Raw genomic sequence first — 16,222 nt, forward strand, 5'->3', positions numbered from 1 at the left:
CTGTGCTTTTAGTCATTGTGTGACACCATTTCTCATAAACAGCAGCTTAACTAATGCCTGGGAAATCCAAAAATATTTAGTTGAGTCTCTTCTACTTGAAGAGCTCGCATTCCCCAAGAATACTTTCCATAGTGAAAGTATTGCATTATTATATTGTATTATATTAATACAGCTATATATTAACATAAAAAATAAAACCTCAAAAGCATTTGAATGGTCTTACACAATTTTCAAAATTTCGTTTAGTTTTACAGCATCACTGGAAATTAAATGAGGTGGCAGGTTTATGACTACAACTCCATTTGTAAAATGCAGGAAAACCAAGGCTCCAAGCAGTCAGCCCTGGATCCCTCCATGGCCCCTCTTTGCTTCATCTGCAAGCTCTGGCGGGAAGTAGTGGTTCCACCCAAGAGCAGAGCTGGTGAAATTGTGGCTTGATGGCAGCCCGCTTCCCGTGGCTCCCTGTCCACTGTGGATGCTGCTGCAGCCTGGCACGTGCTTCGGGACGCAGAGTCCAGGGAGCAGGCTGCCACTGTCACCGTGGCTCTGGTCATCATTGCCAGTGTGTGCCACCTGCCACGGCCGCAGACTCTGTCCACACATTAGTAGCTCTGGGAACATGGGAGGTCAAATGTCAATTAAGAGCAACACGCATACTTCACACTCGTTCGCAACAGATGTTTGCAAAGCCCTTTCAAGTTGATCCTCATAACCAACCTTAGAAATGATCTGGGCAGTTCACAGGGGAAGAGAATGAGTTCCTGAGAGAACAATTTGCCTAAAGTCGCTCAGATAGTCAGTGACTGACTCACGCCTACCTGCCTCCCTTCATGACTCCAGTGCACACCTCACTTAAAGTCTTTAAAGGTGGAGAGACTAAACCAGAGGCTGAGCAAGCTGGGAATCAGGAGCTCCTGTTCTTGTTCCTGTGTTCACCAGATCCCTCCGTGGGGCAGGTGCTGGTGGGCACCATTATCATCCCCATCCTGGGCAGGTTGTCCAGGTGGGCACCATTATCATCCCCATTTTGCAGATGAGGAAACAGAGGCTCAGAGAGGACACAACTTGCCCCAAGGTCACATAGCTCATAGGTGTCCATATAGTCCAGTTTGCTGGACCTGAGCCTTCCTACTACACTGCCCCGCCCTGTGGTGGAGGCCCATTTCCCTTCTTCTCCTCCTCCTGAACAAGATCCTGGGTAGGAGAGTCTCCCAGCTATAATAGCTCTTTGTCAAAAGACAGAATTTGAATGAATTTGAAGATCTTAATTGGCTTTGTGATTCTAGAATCAGGCAACGCTCCATTCTGTAAAATAGGATAAGTGTTCCAATAAACTGAGCAGAAGGAGTTGGTTTTATAGACAAAAAAGGGTAGAAGAAAGCAGAAACAAACAAGAAAAGGAGTATTGATCCTTTCAAAGTTACTTTCCTTGTAAGGTGGAAACAGGAAAACAGAACAATAGAAAGGTAACTGATTAGTTAACATCAAGTTATTTCAGGTTACTTTTTTCTTTTTTTTTATTGAGACAGAGTCTTGCTCTGTTGCCCAGGCTGGAGTGCAGTGGCACAATCTCGGCTTCACAGCAGCCTCCACCTCCTGGGTTCAAGCAATTCTCCTGCCTCAGCCTCCCGAGTGGCTGGGACTACAGATGCCCGCCACCATGCCAGCTAATTTTTGTATTTTTAGTAGAGACGGGGTTTCACCATGTTGGCCAGGCTGGTCTTGAACTCCTGACCTCAGGTGATCCACCCACCTCGGCCTCCCAAAAGGCTGGGATTACAGGCGTGAGCCACTATGCCTGGCCTATTTCAGGTTACTTTTTGTTGTGCAGATTAAAGGCAGAGGGAACTTTATTATCATGTTGACTGAAACTGGCCTATTTGGGGATATTATCTCTATCTCCTGATTTCTCCAAGAGTCAGATGATTTGGTTTGGTGACATGGAACTTTAGTATGAGTGACTCCATCTTGGCTTCTGGTCTGGTGAGCTGGAGCCCAGTGCAGGATCTTAGTCCAAAATAATGACCTCATAATTTTTATAACATCCTTATCCTGGAGCTAAAAAAACAAAACTGCAGCTCTTGTATTCGTTGCTACCAACTGCTTCTTATAGCATGAAAGACAGAAAAAGCAGTTGGATTACATCATTCCCCTGTGTGATAAAGGACAATGTTTCATCACACCTGCCACGCTCTGCCAGCCCTGCCTTTGCCCACCTTCCCAGCATCACTGGGTATCACTCTCTTCCTTATCCACCAGCTTCCAGACCCACCACCAACTGGAAGAGGGTCAATATTACATTAAAGGGGAGCACATAGGGTGACATCGGATGGTGGCCGTCTTTAGGAACATGCAATTAGCCTCAAAAACAAGACTAACCCAGGTGAAACAGTTAAAGACCAGTAAAAGAGCATGCATAATTGTGTGCCAGGATGGAGGGTGCTGATAAGGACAGGGATCTGAAGAGCAGGTGGTGCTGGTGAGTGGGGAAGTCTGAAGGAGGCACTGGGGATTTGGAAGCAGCTTAAGGTGTCAGTACAGTGGTGAACTTCGACAATTAAAGTACTGTTTCACTAAAACAGGTAGGCTCATGTATGTGGAATAAGTATTTTCAGAAATACTTGTCAATTCAGATGGGAGTTTTACTTGCCTGTATGATGAAAGAAGAGGAAGTGGGGAGAAATAAGAAGAGAAGCTCTGAGAGGGGAAAGAAGGCTCAGAATTGCATTCCCCTTGTGAGCGTGCTGTGTCTCAGGGTGCCCACTCCACTGGGCTGCCATTCTTTTCTTCTTTTTCCTTTTCTTTTTTTTTGAGATGGAGTCTCTGTCGCCAGGCTGAAGTACAGTGGCACGATCTCGGCTCACTGAAACCTCCACCTCCTGGGTTGAAGCAATTCTCCTGCCTCAGCCTCCCCAGTAGCTGGGATTACAGGCACGTGCCACCACACTCGGCTAATTTTAAAAATATTTTTAGTAGAGACGGGGTTTCACCATGTCAGCCAGGATGATCTCGATCTCTTGACCTCATGATCTGGCTGCCATTCTTCCACAATCTCAAATTCCCCTTACCCCATTAGGCTTCAACAGGCCCTCATTTGTTTCTTCATCTTCTCTCTGAAGCCATTGTTGAAATGGATCCATCTGCATTGGAATCGTAACCAGGGTTGGTGAACTGCATGGAATGCACATCCAACTAGAGAATGAGAGAGTAGGAAGGCATGCAGGACAGAAAGTGGTAGCCAAAAACTGCTGTGATGAGCCCATGAGAGCTGAGACGGGACTTTGCTTCGGGATCTATTCAACTTCTTATTCTATTATGACGCTGGAAGGAGGGATGGAGAGTCTTCCCACCACAGAGGAGGCCAGATCAGAGTTTGGCCATGCAGGAGGAGCAGCTGCAGGTGTGTGGACCCCCACAACTCCACCCCAGCCAGGTGCCTGTGGTAGCTCCCAGGAAACGCCCTGGGGCCGGCACCCAGCAGCCAGTGGCGGGCACCATCAGTGACTAACATGGATCCATTCTGTGGCCATCTAAAACAACAGGCTGCATTTTGCTCTTAAAAGTCAGCCCCTCCCAGCTACTGGGGAGGCTGAAGCAGGAGGATCACTTGAACCCAGGAGCTGGAGGCCAGCCTGGGCAACATAGGGAGATTTAGACTCAAAAAAAAAAGAAAAAAAGAAAGAAAAGTCGATCCCAAACTTGCTTCCCTTGGCCAGCCTCACAATAGAGTAGACGCAGGGCATGGGCTAGGACTGGTGCCCTTCTGAGGTTTCCTAAGCATAATAACTTGCCTCAGTGCAAACAAACGCAATCCCTGGAAACATAGATATTGTTTCACAGTGTCTACAGCTTCATGTTTTTGGAAGGAGAAACCCTGATGCTCGCAGCAGTGAATGTATGCCAGGGAATGGAAGGAACTAGAGAAATGCACGTGAAACACCGAGGAGTCAGAAGATGCAGCCTCAACTCTGTAAGGCAAGGCAAGCTCTCTCTCAATGCAGGATGCAGTCCAGGCACATCCAGCACCAGGACAGCTGTAAAAGGACACTGGCCTGGGCTCCATCTCCAACCTCCTGAATCAGAACCTCCAGGGCTGGAACATCTGCAGCCTCTCCAAGAAAGAGATTTTTAAGCTGGAGGTGTCTGAGCTCTCTACCTGTCGCCCACATCCTGCTTGGTCAGGAGAGCAGTCCTCCACCCTGACAGGCAGATGGAGAAGGCCTCTGATGAATGGATGGAGGAAGGGTCAGTGAGGGCTAGTGTTGGAGTCCTGAAGGAGTGAGGGAGAGGACAGTGGGTGGGTCCTAATGCTCTGCCCCCCACGTAGGGAGGCTCACAGGGCACATGTCCTCAGGCTCTGCAGGTCACCTACCCAACTTTTAGTTATAATGTCCCAGAGCTTAATATGGGGCTATTTCTCAAGAAAAAATAGTAGCCCCTGTCTTGTCCCCTAACTCCTCATAGCAGCAAGTTTGAAGTTTGCTGATCTACAAAAGGTCCTCAAATCTGGCCTGAAGCAGCAATAGTATCTCTCCATTTATCCAAAAATTCATGTTTGTGTAGTCCTTCTCTGTTGTAATTCCCAAAGCAAGAGTTTTTAAGTGCAGGAGCATGTCTGAAAATCAGGACCCCCAGGGCTCTTGCTCAATCCCAAGAAGGTTAGAGTGGTTCTTAGCTTCAGCTGTCCCATCCTAAACGAGGAGGTGGGATTCTGGAATTTCTAAAAGTCATTCCTACTCCACTGCCCTATAATTTCTAAGAAAAAAGCCAGCCACTTCGTCATAGAGTTGGGTATTCCACCTCCTCTGAAACATGTATGGAGAACAGCTTGAACCTTTTCACTGCTCACCTCTGCTTTTAGTGACTAAGGATAGAAAGGTCAGAGGCAAAGTGGCAAAGGACTTGAAAACTACCTTCAAAAACTAACTGCAAAAACCAAACTACTAATATCGTTTGGTGGCTGGGCGCGGTGGCTCACGCCTGCAATCCCACCACTGTGGGAGGCCGAGGCGGGCGAATTGCCTGAGCTCAGGAGTTTGAAACCAGCCTGTGCAACACGGTGAAACCTCGTCTCTAATAAAATACAAAAAATTAGCTGGGCTTGGCAGAGTGCACCTGTAGTCCCGGATACTCAGGAGGCTGAGACAGGAGAACTGCTTGAACCTGGGAGGTGGAGTTTGCCGTGAGCCAAGATCGCGCCACTGCACTCCAGCCTGGCAACAGAGACTTTGTCTCAAAAAAAAAAAAAAAAAAAAAATGGTTTGGTGTGGGTCTGGCGCCCTCTGGTGTGTTTTGAGACTGTGTCATGCTGGCTGGTGCTAAGTTCTCCCTGCTGCCATCTGTGGTCTGACATGTGAGCACATGCTGTATATGCTGAGAGTGCTGTATTATAAATTATTATTATTATTGTTATTATTTTGAGACGGAGTTTCGTTCTTGTTGCCCAGGCTGGAGTGCAATGGCACGATCTTGGCTCACTGCAACCTCCACCTCCCGGGTTCAAGCGATTATCCCTTCTCAGCCTCCCGAGTGGCTGGGATTACAGGTGCCCGCCACCACACCCGACTAATTTTTTGTATATTTTTTTTTTAGTATAGATGGTGTTTCACCATGTTGGCCAGGTTTGTCTCAAACTCTAGACCTCAGGTGATCCACTCGCCTCGGCCTCCCAAATGCTGTGATCACAGGCATGAGCCACCACACCCAGACTATAAATTATTTTAATTACCACCTGATACTTTCAGTAAATCTAGAAGAAAAATGGTAAATGCAAGGTTTTATTAAAACAAAAACAGGCTCAAAGTTAAAATATACTTGAGCCTTTATTAAAAACCACAATAAAATGGCCAGGCGCGGTGGCTCACGCCTATAATCCCAGCACTTTGGGAGGCCGAGGTGGACGGATCACAAGATCAGGAGATCGAGACCATCCTGGCTAACATGGTGAAACCCCGTCTCTATTAAAAATACAAAAAAATTAGCCAGGCATGGTGGCGGGCGCCTGTAGTCCCAGCTACTCTGGAGGCTGAGGCAGGAGAATGGCGTGAACCTGGGAGGCAGAGGTGGCAGTGAGCCGAGATTGCGCCACTGCACTCCAGCCTGGGTGACAGAGCGAGACTCCATCTCAAAAAAAAAAAAAAAAAAAAACAACCCAATAAAATGCCATCATAGAATATCTATGCTTGTCTGTCTGTCTGTCTCTCTCTCTCCCTCCATGTTTTGAGATGGCACTACAGCAATGTGTAAAAGGTAAATCAAGGTTCATGACCCTGTCTGTATCAATTAGTGGGCTCTTGAGTTTTCTATTGCACCCAACAGCACCCCACTCCTGCAAAAATACTAACAACAACAAAGCTGAATTTTAAACAGGAAAAGAAGGCAACAAAGCTTATGGAAGAGAACAAATATGGAAGATATTTATGGAATAAACATGGAATGGAATACAAAACAAATTATGGAAAATAAATACAATGAATCAGAAAGGATTTCTCAAACCATACTTGAAAATCGTAAATCTTAATGAAAATACCATAGAAAAATAAAACATCTTTCGACAATAAGAGATATAAACAAAGTTAAAAAGCAAGTCATAGCCTGGAAGAGTATATTTGCAATGGGATCTAAAATAAATAAATAATAGCTACAAAACTGTAAGAGACAACCCAAAAGGCAAGTAATAATACAAAAGCCTAAATTACCAATAAACATGAAAAAGATGTTAGGTTCCTTAGTCATTAGAGAAATGCAAACTAAAGCCACAAGGAGCTCTCATAGTGCCTTCAATGAGTTAGCAAAAATAAGACAAAAAAAAAAAAACAAAAAAACAGCTGTCAAGTGTTTTTCTAAGTATTTTCATAAAAGATTCATATACTGCAGGTGGGAGTGAACAGGGAGGCTAAAAAGCAAAAAAGTTTTCTATCTTGTATACATTTGAGTGCAGAAAAAACCCAGAAAACTCCCCTGATAATCTAAGCACACCTGCCCTCGGGTGGGCTTAGGATTCAATATAATGATCTTCAAGTAGTCCAGGAAAATACAAGCCAAGAAATTATAGTAGCCCTAGACTCACAGTGCCTTGGAGCACCTTAACAAAACAAAAACAAAATCTGGAGAAATGTACCCTTAATACAGGCCTCACAGTATTCCCACAAGTCAACCCTTTCAAACATGAGTTTATAATCTAAAATTACAAAATACATTAAAGAGAAAATTAATTAACTGAAATATATATTTGAAAAAATTATTCAGAATGCAGCACAGAGAGAGAAAGAAATGGAAAATATAAAACAGAGGTTAACAGAAACAAAGTGTAGAGTGAGAAGGTCCAATTTACTGCCTAATAGCAGTTCTAGAAGAAAATGACAAGGAAGAGGTAAAATTTAAAGAGACAAATGACTAACAATTTCCCAGACCAATAAGACAAGAATGCTCAAATCCAAGAATTATAATCAATCCCAAGCAGGGTAAATGAATATCTACACCTTAATATTATAATGAATGTATATAATACCAAAGAAAAATAATAACTTACCTATATGGAAAGACAATTTGACTGTAAGAAAATTTCTCGATAGCAGTAATAGAAGTCAGAAATCAATAAAATTATATTTTCAAATTTAGAAAAACAAAAAAAAACCTGTCAGCCTAGACTTTTATATTACTAAACAATTACTCGAGAATGAGGGTGAGATAAAAATACATTTTTATCCAATTAAAAACTGACATCATTCACCAATAGCATACCCTCAGCTAAAGGCACTTCTTCAGAATGTCCTTGAAGAACAAAAATTACTGTAGAAAGAAGATATGAAACACAAGGAAGAATAAAGAATCGGCCAACACGTGAATAAATCTAGATTTATTAATAAAACTAGGTTATTTATTAAATTGGTTGGAAGGTACATGGGCACAGATACTTCTTTATTCTTTTTTGTGTGGCTAAAATATTTGATAGTATTTTTTTAAGTAGCACAGGGAAAAGAGTTCTAGGCAGAAGATTCTGAGGCTAGAAAGAGCTTGACCTACTTATACAACTGAAAGAGAGCTAGCATATCTGGAACAGGGTAAAGAGAAGTGGTACAAAATGAGGGTGGAAGGGAGTAGGCAAGAGACATGAATAGACACTTTCCAAAAGAAGACATGCATGTGGCTAACAAGTATATGAAAAAATGCTCAACATCACTAACCATTAGAGAAATGCAAATCAAAACCACAATGAGACACCATCTCACTCCAGACAGAATGACTATTATTAAATAGTCAAAAAATTGCAGATGCTGTTGAGGTTCTGGGAAAAAAGGGAACACTTGTGGGAATGTAAATTAGTTCAACTACTATTATTGGGGGAAGCTGCCCCCAATATTTCAACGTAGGTTCTTTCTATTTTCCGTAAGTGTCGGCCGGCTGAGAAATAAAGAGAGACAGTACAAAGAGAGGAATTTTACAGCTGGGCCACCAGGGGTGACATCACCTATCAGTAGGACCATGATGCCTGCCTGAGTCTCAGACCAGCAAGTTTTTATTAAGGGTTTCAAAAGGGGAGGGGGTGTAAGAACAGGGAGTAGGTACAAAGATCACATGCTTCAAAAGGCAAAAAGCAGAACTGCTAGTAAGGGTCTAACAAAGATCACATGCTTCTGAGGGAACAGGACAAAGGGCAAAAGCAGAACTACTGATAAGGGTCTATGTTCAGCAGTGCACATATTGTCTTGATAAACATCTTAAATAACAGAAAACAGGGTTCGAGAGCAGAGAAACAGTGTGACCACAAATTTACCAGGGCAGAGTTTTTCCCCACCCTAGTAAGCCTGAGGGTACTGCAGGAGACCAGGGCATATCTCAGTCCTTATCTCAACTGCATAAGACAGACATTCCCAGAGCAGCCATTTATAGACCTCCCGCGAGGAATGCATTCCTTTCCCAGGGTGTTAATATTAATATTCCTTGCTAGGAAAAGAATTTAGCAATATCTCTCCTATTTGCACGTCAGTTTATAGGCTCTCTGCAATAAGAAAAATATGGCTCTTTTTACCTGACCCCGCAGGCAGTCAGACCTTATGGTTGTCTTTCCTTGTTCCCTAAAAATCACTGTTATTCTGTTCTTTCTCAAGGTGCACTGATTTCCTATTGTTCAAACACACATGTTTTACAATCAATTTGTACAGTTAACAAAATTATCACAGTGGTCCTGAGGTGATGTACAACCTTAGTTTACAAAGATAACAGGATTAAGAGATTAAAATAAAGACAGGCATAAGAAATTATGAAAGTATTATTTGGGAACTGATAAATGTCCATGAAATCTTCACAATTTATGATCCTCTGCTGTGGCTCCAGCCGGTCCTGCCGTTTGGGGTCCATGACTTCCTGCAACACATTATGGAAGACAGTGTGGCAATTCCTCAAAGACCCAAAGACAGAAATACCATTCAACCCAGCAATCCCATTGGGTATCTACCCAAAGGAATATAAATCATTCTATTATGAGCACACATGCACATGTATGTTCAATCTAGTACTATTCACAATAGCAAAGACATAGAATCAACCTAAATGCCCATCAATGATAGAGTGGATAAAGAAAATGCAGTATATATACACCATGGAATACTATGCAGCCATAAAAAAAGAATGAGATCGTGTCCTTTCCAGGGACATGGATGGAGCTGGAAGCCATTATCCTTAGCAAACTAACATAGGAACAGAAAACCAAATACCGCATGTTCTTACTTATAAGTGGGAGCTAAATGATGAGAACACATGGACACATAGAGGGGAACAACATACACTCGGACCTAGTGGAGGGTGGAGGTGCATTGAGGGAGAGGGTTAGGCAAAATATTATATGTATTTTGTATAACAGACCCCCATGACATACATTTACCTACGTAACAAACCTGCACATGTACCCCTGAACTTAAAATAAAAGTAAAACAAACAAACAAACAAAATGTTCATCACTAGGAAAACAGATGAACAAACTGTAGAGCATTCATGCAACAGAAGACTCTTCAACCACAGAAAGGAACAAACTACTGAAGAACACACCATAGACGAATCTCCTAAACTTGCTACATGAGACAAGCTGGACACCAAATAATACATATTGTGTGATTTCAGGCAAAATGAACCTATGGTGAAAAAAGTCAGAATAAAAATAACCCCTGGGGAAAGAAAAATTTGCCTGGGAAGGAATATGAGAAAATTCCTGGGGATAATGGAATTATTCTATTCTTTTTTTGAGATGGAGTCTCGCTCTGTAGCCCGGGCTGGAGTACAGTGGCATGATCTCGGCTCACTGCAAGCTCTGCCTCCCGGGTTCACGCCATTCTCCTGCCTCAGCCTCCCGAGTAGCTGGGATTACAGGCGCCCGCCCCCACGCCCAGCTAATTTTTCGTATTTTTAGTAGAGACGTTGTTTCATCATGTTAGCCAGGATGGTCTCGATCTCCTGACCTCATGATCCACCCACCTTGGCCTCCCAAAGTGCTAGGATTACAGGCGTGAGCCCCCGCGCCCAGCCAAAATTATTCTATTCTTAGTGCAATGGCAAAATTTCAGCTCACTGCAACCTCTGTCTCCTGGGTTCAAGCAATTCTCCTGCCTCAGCCTCCTGAGTAGCTGAGATTATAGGCACCCGCCACTACAAGTGGCCAATTTTTGTATTTTTAGTAGAGACGGAATTTTGCCATGTTGGTCAGGCTGGTCTCGAACTCCGGACTTCAGGTGATCCACCCACTTTGGCCTCCCAAAGTGCTGAGGTTACAGGCATGAGCCACCGTGCCCTGCCTAATTATTCTATTCTTAAAATGGGTGAAGGTTATATGGGTGTATTTAATTGTCAAAAATATACAGTTAATTTTTGTGCCTATGAATATGTGTACATTTGAGCTCATTTTTTAAAAAAAAGAACTAAAAGAAATGATGGGATGGAAAATGGGTTGAAGTATAGATGAAATAAAAAAGGCACATGAATAGTAGTTTTTGAGGCTGGGTGACGGGTCTATTATACTATTTTGTCTACTTTGTGTTTAAAATTTTCTATAATAAAACACTGGTCTAAAAAGACAAGTTATCTACAATGTTCTTAAAATTTTGGTTATCTTTTCAGGGGAGGGCAAGAAAAAGTGATTTTCAGGCATGATAGAGGCTGATTCTATTCCTTGGTCACACAAGTTTATCCACTTTGTAATAACGCACTGAGCTTTACATGAATGCTTTGTGCATGCATTTCTGTATGCATGTTACAATATCAATAACAATTTTAAATATTACATTTAAACACAAAAATCCTAACAGCATCTCAGAACAATGGCAGCACTGTTGTTTGTTTTAAAACAGGATATGTTCACTCATGGCATTATCAGATGACTTTTAATATTTTGAGATATTTATTCATGTCCTAACCCTTGGTAAGTGGCATGGTTTTTATTTTTCATGATGCACTTTTTTTCAGCAAAGTCCTCCCCCAACCGTGCTGCTCACCAAGGCCCTGGCACCTAGCACAGTGCCCTGGGAAACTTGTAAATCTGGGTTAGATTTGGGACAAAACAGGAAGTAGAGGTCAGTTCCTTCCAAGAGAAGTAAATAGGTAATGCAAGGAAGATTGAAAGGCCGCAACTCAGCAGCAAATGTTTTTACATTCATTTGAGAAACACTTGCAAAGAGTTTACCAAAAAATGTTGGTTTAAAGCAGCAGTTTTGAGGACTGGCTGCACACTATGGAAAGCTGTTGTTTATTTATTTATTTATTTTTAAGATGAAATCTGGCTCTGTCACCATCACCCAGGCTGGAGTGCAGTGTCGTAATCATAGCTCACTACATCCTCCAACTCCTGGGCTCAAAGTATCCTCCACCTCAGCCACCAAAAGTGCTGAAATTAGAGGTGTGAACCACCACCCCTCTCCATTCCTGGGGAGCTTTTAACAATACTGATGTCCTGGTTTCACTCCAGGAATTCTGGGTTCATTGGTCTGTTGCAACTTGGGTTTAGGGGGATTTTTAAAAGCCCCCATGTGATCCTAATGTGCAGCCAGAGGTGAGAACTACTGGTTCATGGTGAGAGGTGCATTAGCTGTGCCTCATTTCCATGTGTGCTGTAGCAATTTGCCCCATGGCCATTGCTGCATTTGGATTTTTGGAAAAAAGCTTTGCTGTGTTAAAAATTAGAGAACAACTTCAAGATGTACTCAACTGTGTGGTTCAGTGGCAGCAGGAGGAAGTGTCTCCCAGCAGATCTATCTTTATGTCACTTGCGTTCTGAGTAAGAGGTTGTCTCTGGCACAGTAGTTTATGATGAAAATCATAAACAGGCGTGCTGAGGTGGGTGGATCACGAGGTCAAGAGTTCGAGACCAGCCTGGCCAACCTGGTGAAACCCCATCTCTACTAAGAATACAAAAATTAGCTGGGTGTGGTGGCATGTGCCTATAATGCCAGCTACTCAGGAGGCTGAGGCAGGAGAATTGCTTGAACCTGGGAGGTAGAGGTTGCAGTGATCCAAGATTGAGCCACTACACTCCAGCCTGGGCAACAGAGCAAGACTCTGTCTCAGAAAAAAAAAAAGAAAAGACAATCATAAATAGTCTACAAATACCAAAAAGAGATCAAAAGAATTTGCACATAATACTTTGGCCGGCTGCGATGGCTCATGCCTGTGATCCCAGCACTTTGGGAGGCCAAGACGGGCTGATCATGAGGTCAGGAGATCGAGACCACCCTGGCTAACATGGTGAAACCCCATCTCTACTAAAAATACAAAAAAATTAGCCAGGCGTGGTGGTGGGCACCTGTAGTCCCAGCTACTCATAGCTACTCAGGAGGCTGAGGCAGGAGAATGGCATGAACCTGGGAGGCGGAGGTTGCAGTGAGCTGAGATCGCGCCACTGCCCTCCAGCCTGGGCAACAGAGTGAGACTCCATCTCAAAAAAAAAAAAAGGATTTGCACACATGTGGAGTGCATTATCATGCTTTCAAATTTCTCCTATGATGAGGAATGAAAAATATAATATTGGGCCTTGATTTCCTAAATGGCCCTCCGCCATTTCCCCAAATTATTCCAACTTTTCCCAAGACACTTCAGAAACATTCTCTGGAGGGAAATATTGCAAATGGTGAAGAGTACTAGATGGATGAGAATCCCATGGGATTCTTGCTTAAACTGCAGAAGAGTCACCCTCCAGGACTTCAAAAATTTACGGAAGCTGCATGAGTAGTGTGGGCTATGGAAGTCATGGGCGTCGACGTCAGGCCGACTTGGTCCTGAGTCCCTGTCCAGCCTCTTAGTTGCTGTGGGGCTTTGGACAAGTTCCCTGACTTGAAACACTTATATAAACCTCACCTGCAAGAAAATGCATAGTGATACTGATTGCAAAAATGGCATCAATTCATCATCCTTCCCTGTATCCAGACCCTTTGCAGTGTGCTTGTACAGATGTTCTCATTAAGAAGCAGACTCTGTTTCCCAAACCTTGGATCTCAGCTGGCCTTATTTGCTGTGGCCAATAGAAGACTGCAAACATAACAGTGTGCCAGCTTGGGGCTTAGGCTCAAAAGTTCTTGAATGCTTTGTTTTTCTTTCAGAATTCTACCATTTCCATAAGAGCAAGTCTGTGCTAGCCTGTTGGAGGACGAGAAACCATGAGAAGCAAAGTGCCACAGTTGACAGCCAACTCACCCCCAGAAGCAGAGATGCCTAGTCAACCAAAAGTTAAGCACACATGTCCAAAGGGGCCCAGCTGGGTCCAGAAGAATGGCCCAGCTGAGCCCAGCCCAAATGGCTGAACAGCTCAATCATGAGTGAATAAGTTTTGGGTGATTTGTTATGCAGCAATAGCTAAATAATACATGCACCCAGTGCAGATAGGATGCTAGGATTCAAGGACAGGTTGATTACAAGTTACCTGCAAACAGAAGACACCCTACAGTTGCTGATTTTCTTTTCCTCTTATTTAAAGTTGGGCCTCTTGCTTGATGGCATCGAGTTACACAGAAATGCATGTAGACATGTCTGCATGTAATTGGTGCTTAAACTACGCAGTCCTCCACAGCATGTGAGGAAACAAATGTACACAGCCTGACCGTTAGGGTCAAGGCCAAATAGCAAAGTAAGTGTGCCTTTAATCTATTCCCTCCATATCTAAACTTCGTAGGTCAAGGCTGTGGACAGATCTGAAGACACTGGGTTTCCTCCTTTTGGGGGCCCCATCATCCTTTGTTCATTTTCTGATCTCTGGAAAGACGATGGGCAGCAGGTGGGCAGCAGGGAAACCTGTGGACACTTTGTTCTTGTAGCCCCTGCCCTCTAGAGGCACCATCTCTCACTCTTGGGCCTGAAGAGAGCTGTTGGGAGGGAGGAGGTGTCCCCTAACTTCTGGCAGAAAAGAGTGTTTCAGACCCGTCACCTCCCTCAGCTCAGGGCAGTCAGAGTCCTCCGAGCTGCGCTTCAGTGTGGTGGCCACTGGCCACGTGGGGCTGCTGGGCACCTGGAATAAGCTGCTTTGCACTGACGTGTGCTGGAAACTTAAAAATCCAGAGAGTTGCCAAAATTAGTACCAAAACTTATACACTTTATTAACAATTATATACTGGTCTCATATTAAAATGATCATATTTTGGCTATATTGGGTCAAATAAATTATTACAATCAATTTCACCTGTTTCTTTAATATGTGGCTATTAGAAAATTTAAAATACACATATGGTTCACATTTTATTTCTTAGAAGACTGTCTCCTTTTTGAAATCTCAGGCTGCCTGCTCAAAGGACCAGGGGCCAGGAAGATCATAAAAATCCAAAATTCTAAAATAATTGTCATTATGTTGTTTCTACTTGTGAATTTTATATATATATAAAATATATATATTATATATAAAATATATATATTATATATAAAATATATATATTATATATAATATATATATTATATATAATATATATATAATATATATAATATATATATAATATATAATATATATATTATATATATAGTATATATATAAAATATTTATAAAATATATATAAATATATATAATATATATATAAAATATATTTATAAAATATATATATAATATATATAAAATATATATATAAAATATATATAATATATATAATATATATAAAATATATCTATATAAAATATATATATATAATGTATCTATATAAAATATATATATAATATATCTATATAAAAATATATATAATGTATCTATATAAAATATATATATAATGTATATATATAAAATATATACATATAAAATGTATATATATAAAATATATATATATAACTTATAAATGAATATAATCTTATACACAAGGTTAAATGTAAATGTCCCCAGGGCAGGGCCAGGCCCAGTGCTGGGAGAAAGCCCTGTCTGAAAAACCTGCTGCCAGGGGCCTGTGGTTCTTGCTTCATCCAACCCAGTATCTGATGGCATCTCCTGTCTTCGGTCTCACCATGGCTTGCATGTGTGGGGCCTTCTCTCCATTTCTCCCAGGCCCCTTCTGTTCTCCCTGTTCCCTCCATCATGTCTCAGACTCTGGCCTTGGGACTAGAAGCCCCTTCCTAGACCTACCTCAGTTGTCATTTCCCCAAACCTTTCGCACAGGTTGAGGACTGGACTGCGGTCCTCTCTGCCCTGGGAGGCAGTGGGAGCTCAGCACCACCCACATCTCCTGCTCCCCTGACTCCCTCAGGAGAGATTTGTGGTCTTAGCTTGTCATCATCCTCTCTCCCCAGCTTCAGTGAGCAGGCCAGGGCTGCCTTGGGAATCAGGATGGCGACAGTGTTAGGGGGGCTCTCTGACCACGTCCGCATCACAGAGGAGTTAACTTGTTGTGACAGACAGGTACTAGGGCAGCTCTGCTGATGACCTAACCAAGGCCAAGGTTTGGGCAGAGCAACAAATGTTGGCAGCCTCCACCTACCAGGCTTTGTGCTGCTGTGCTTCTGAGTCAGTGGGGCAGGTTAGATAGGAGGAGATTGGGGCTGGCTGACTTCCCCCTAGCAAAGATTGGGGGAAAGAGTTGAAGTAGGCCGTGCGCGGTGGCTCAAGCCTGTAATCCCAGCACTTTGGGAGGCCAAGGCGGGCGGATCACGAGGTCAGGAGATCGAGACCATCCTGGCTAACACGGTGAAACCCCGTCTCTACTAAAAATACAAAAAATTAGCCGGGCGTGGTGGCGGGCACCTATAGTCCCAGCTACTTGGCAGGCTGAGGCAGGAG

At 42.9% G+C, this 16,222-nt stretch overlaps 1 long non-coding RNA gene across 1 annotated transcript; it reads right to left on the bottom strand.

Moving 5' to 3' along the window:
• Positions 1 to 230: 230 nt before the first annotated feature.
• On the bottom strand, positions 231 to 15,763 carry LOC105370118 (uncharacterized). The gene is made up of 4 exons (XR_941759.1): positions 15,572 to 15,763; positions 13,901 to 14,519; positions 13,339 to 13,617; positions 231 to 611 (listed from the first exon to the last, which is right to left on the bottom strand). It is a non-coding gene; the product is annotated as an uncharacterized LOC105370118 (long non-coding RNA).
• Between the last annotated feature and the right edge of the window lie 459 nt (positions 15,764 to 16,222).

Source organism: Homo sapiens, chromosome 13, assembly GCF_000001405.40.
Source record: "Homo sapiens chromosome 13, GRCh38.p14 Primary Assembly".
NCBI classification, from domain to species: Eukaryota; Metazoa; Chordata; class Mammalia; order Primates; family Hominidae; genus Homo; species Homo sapiens.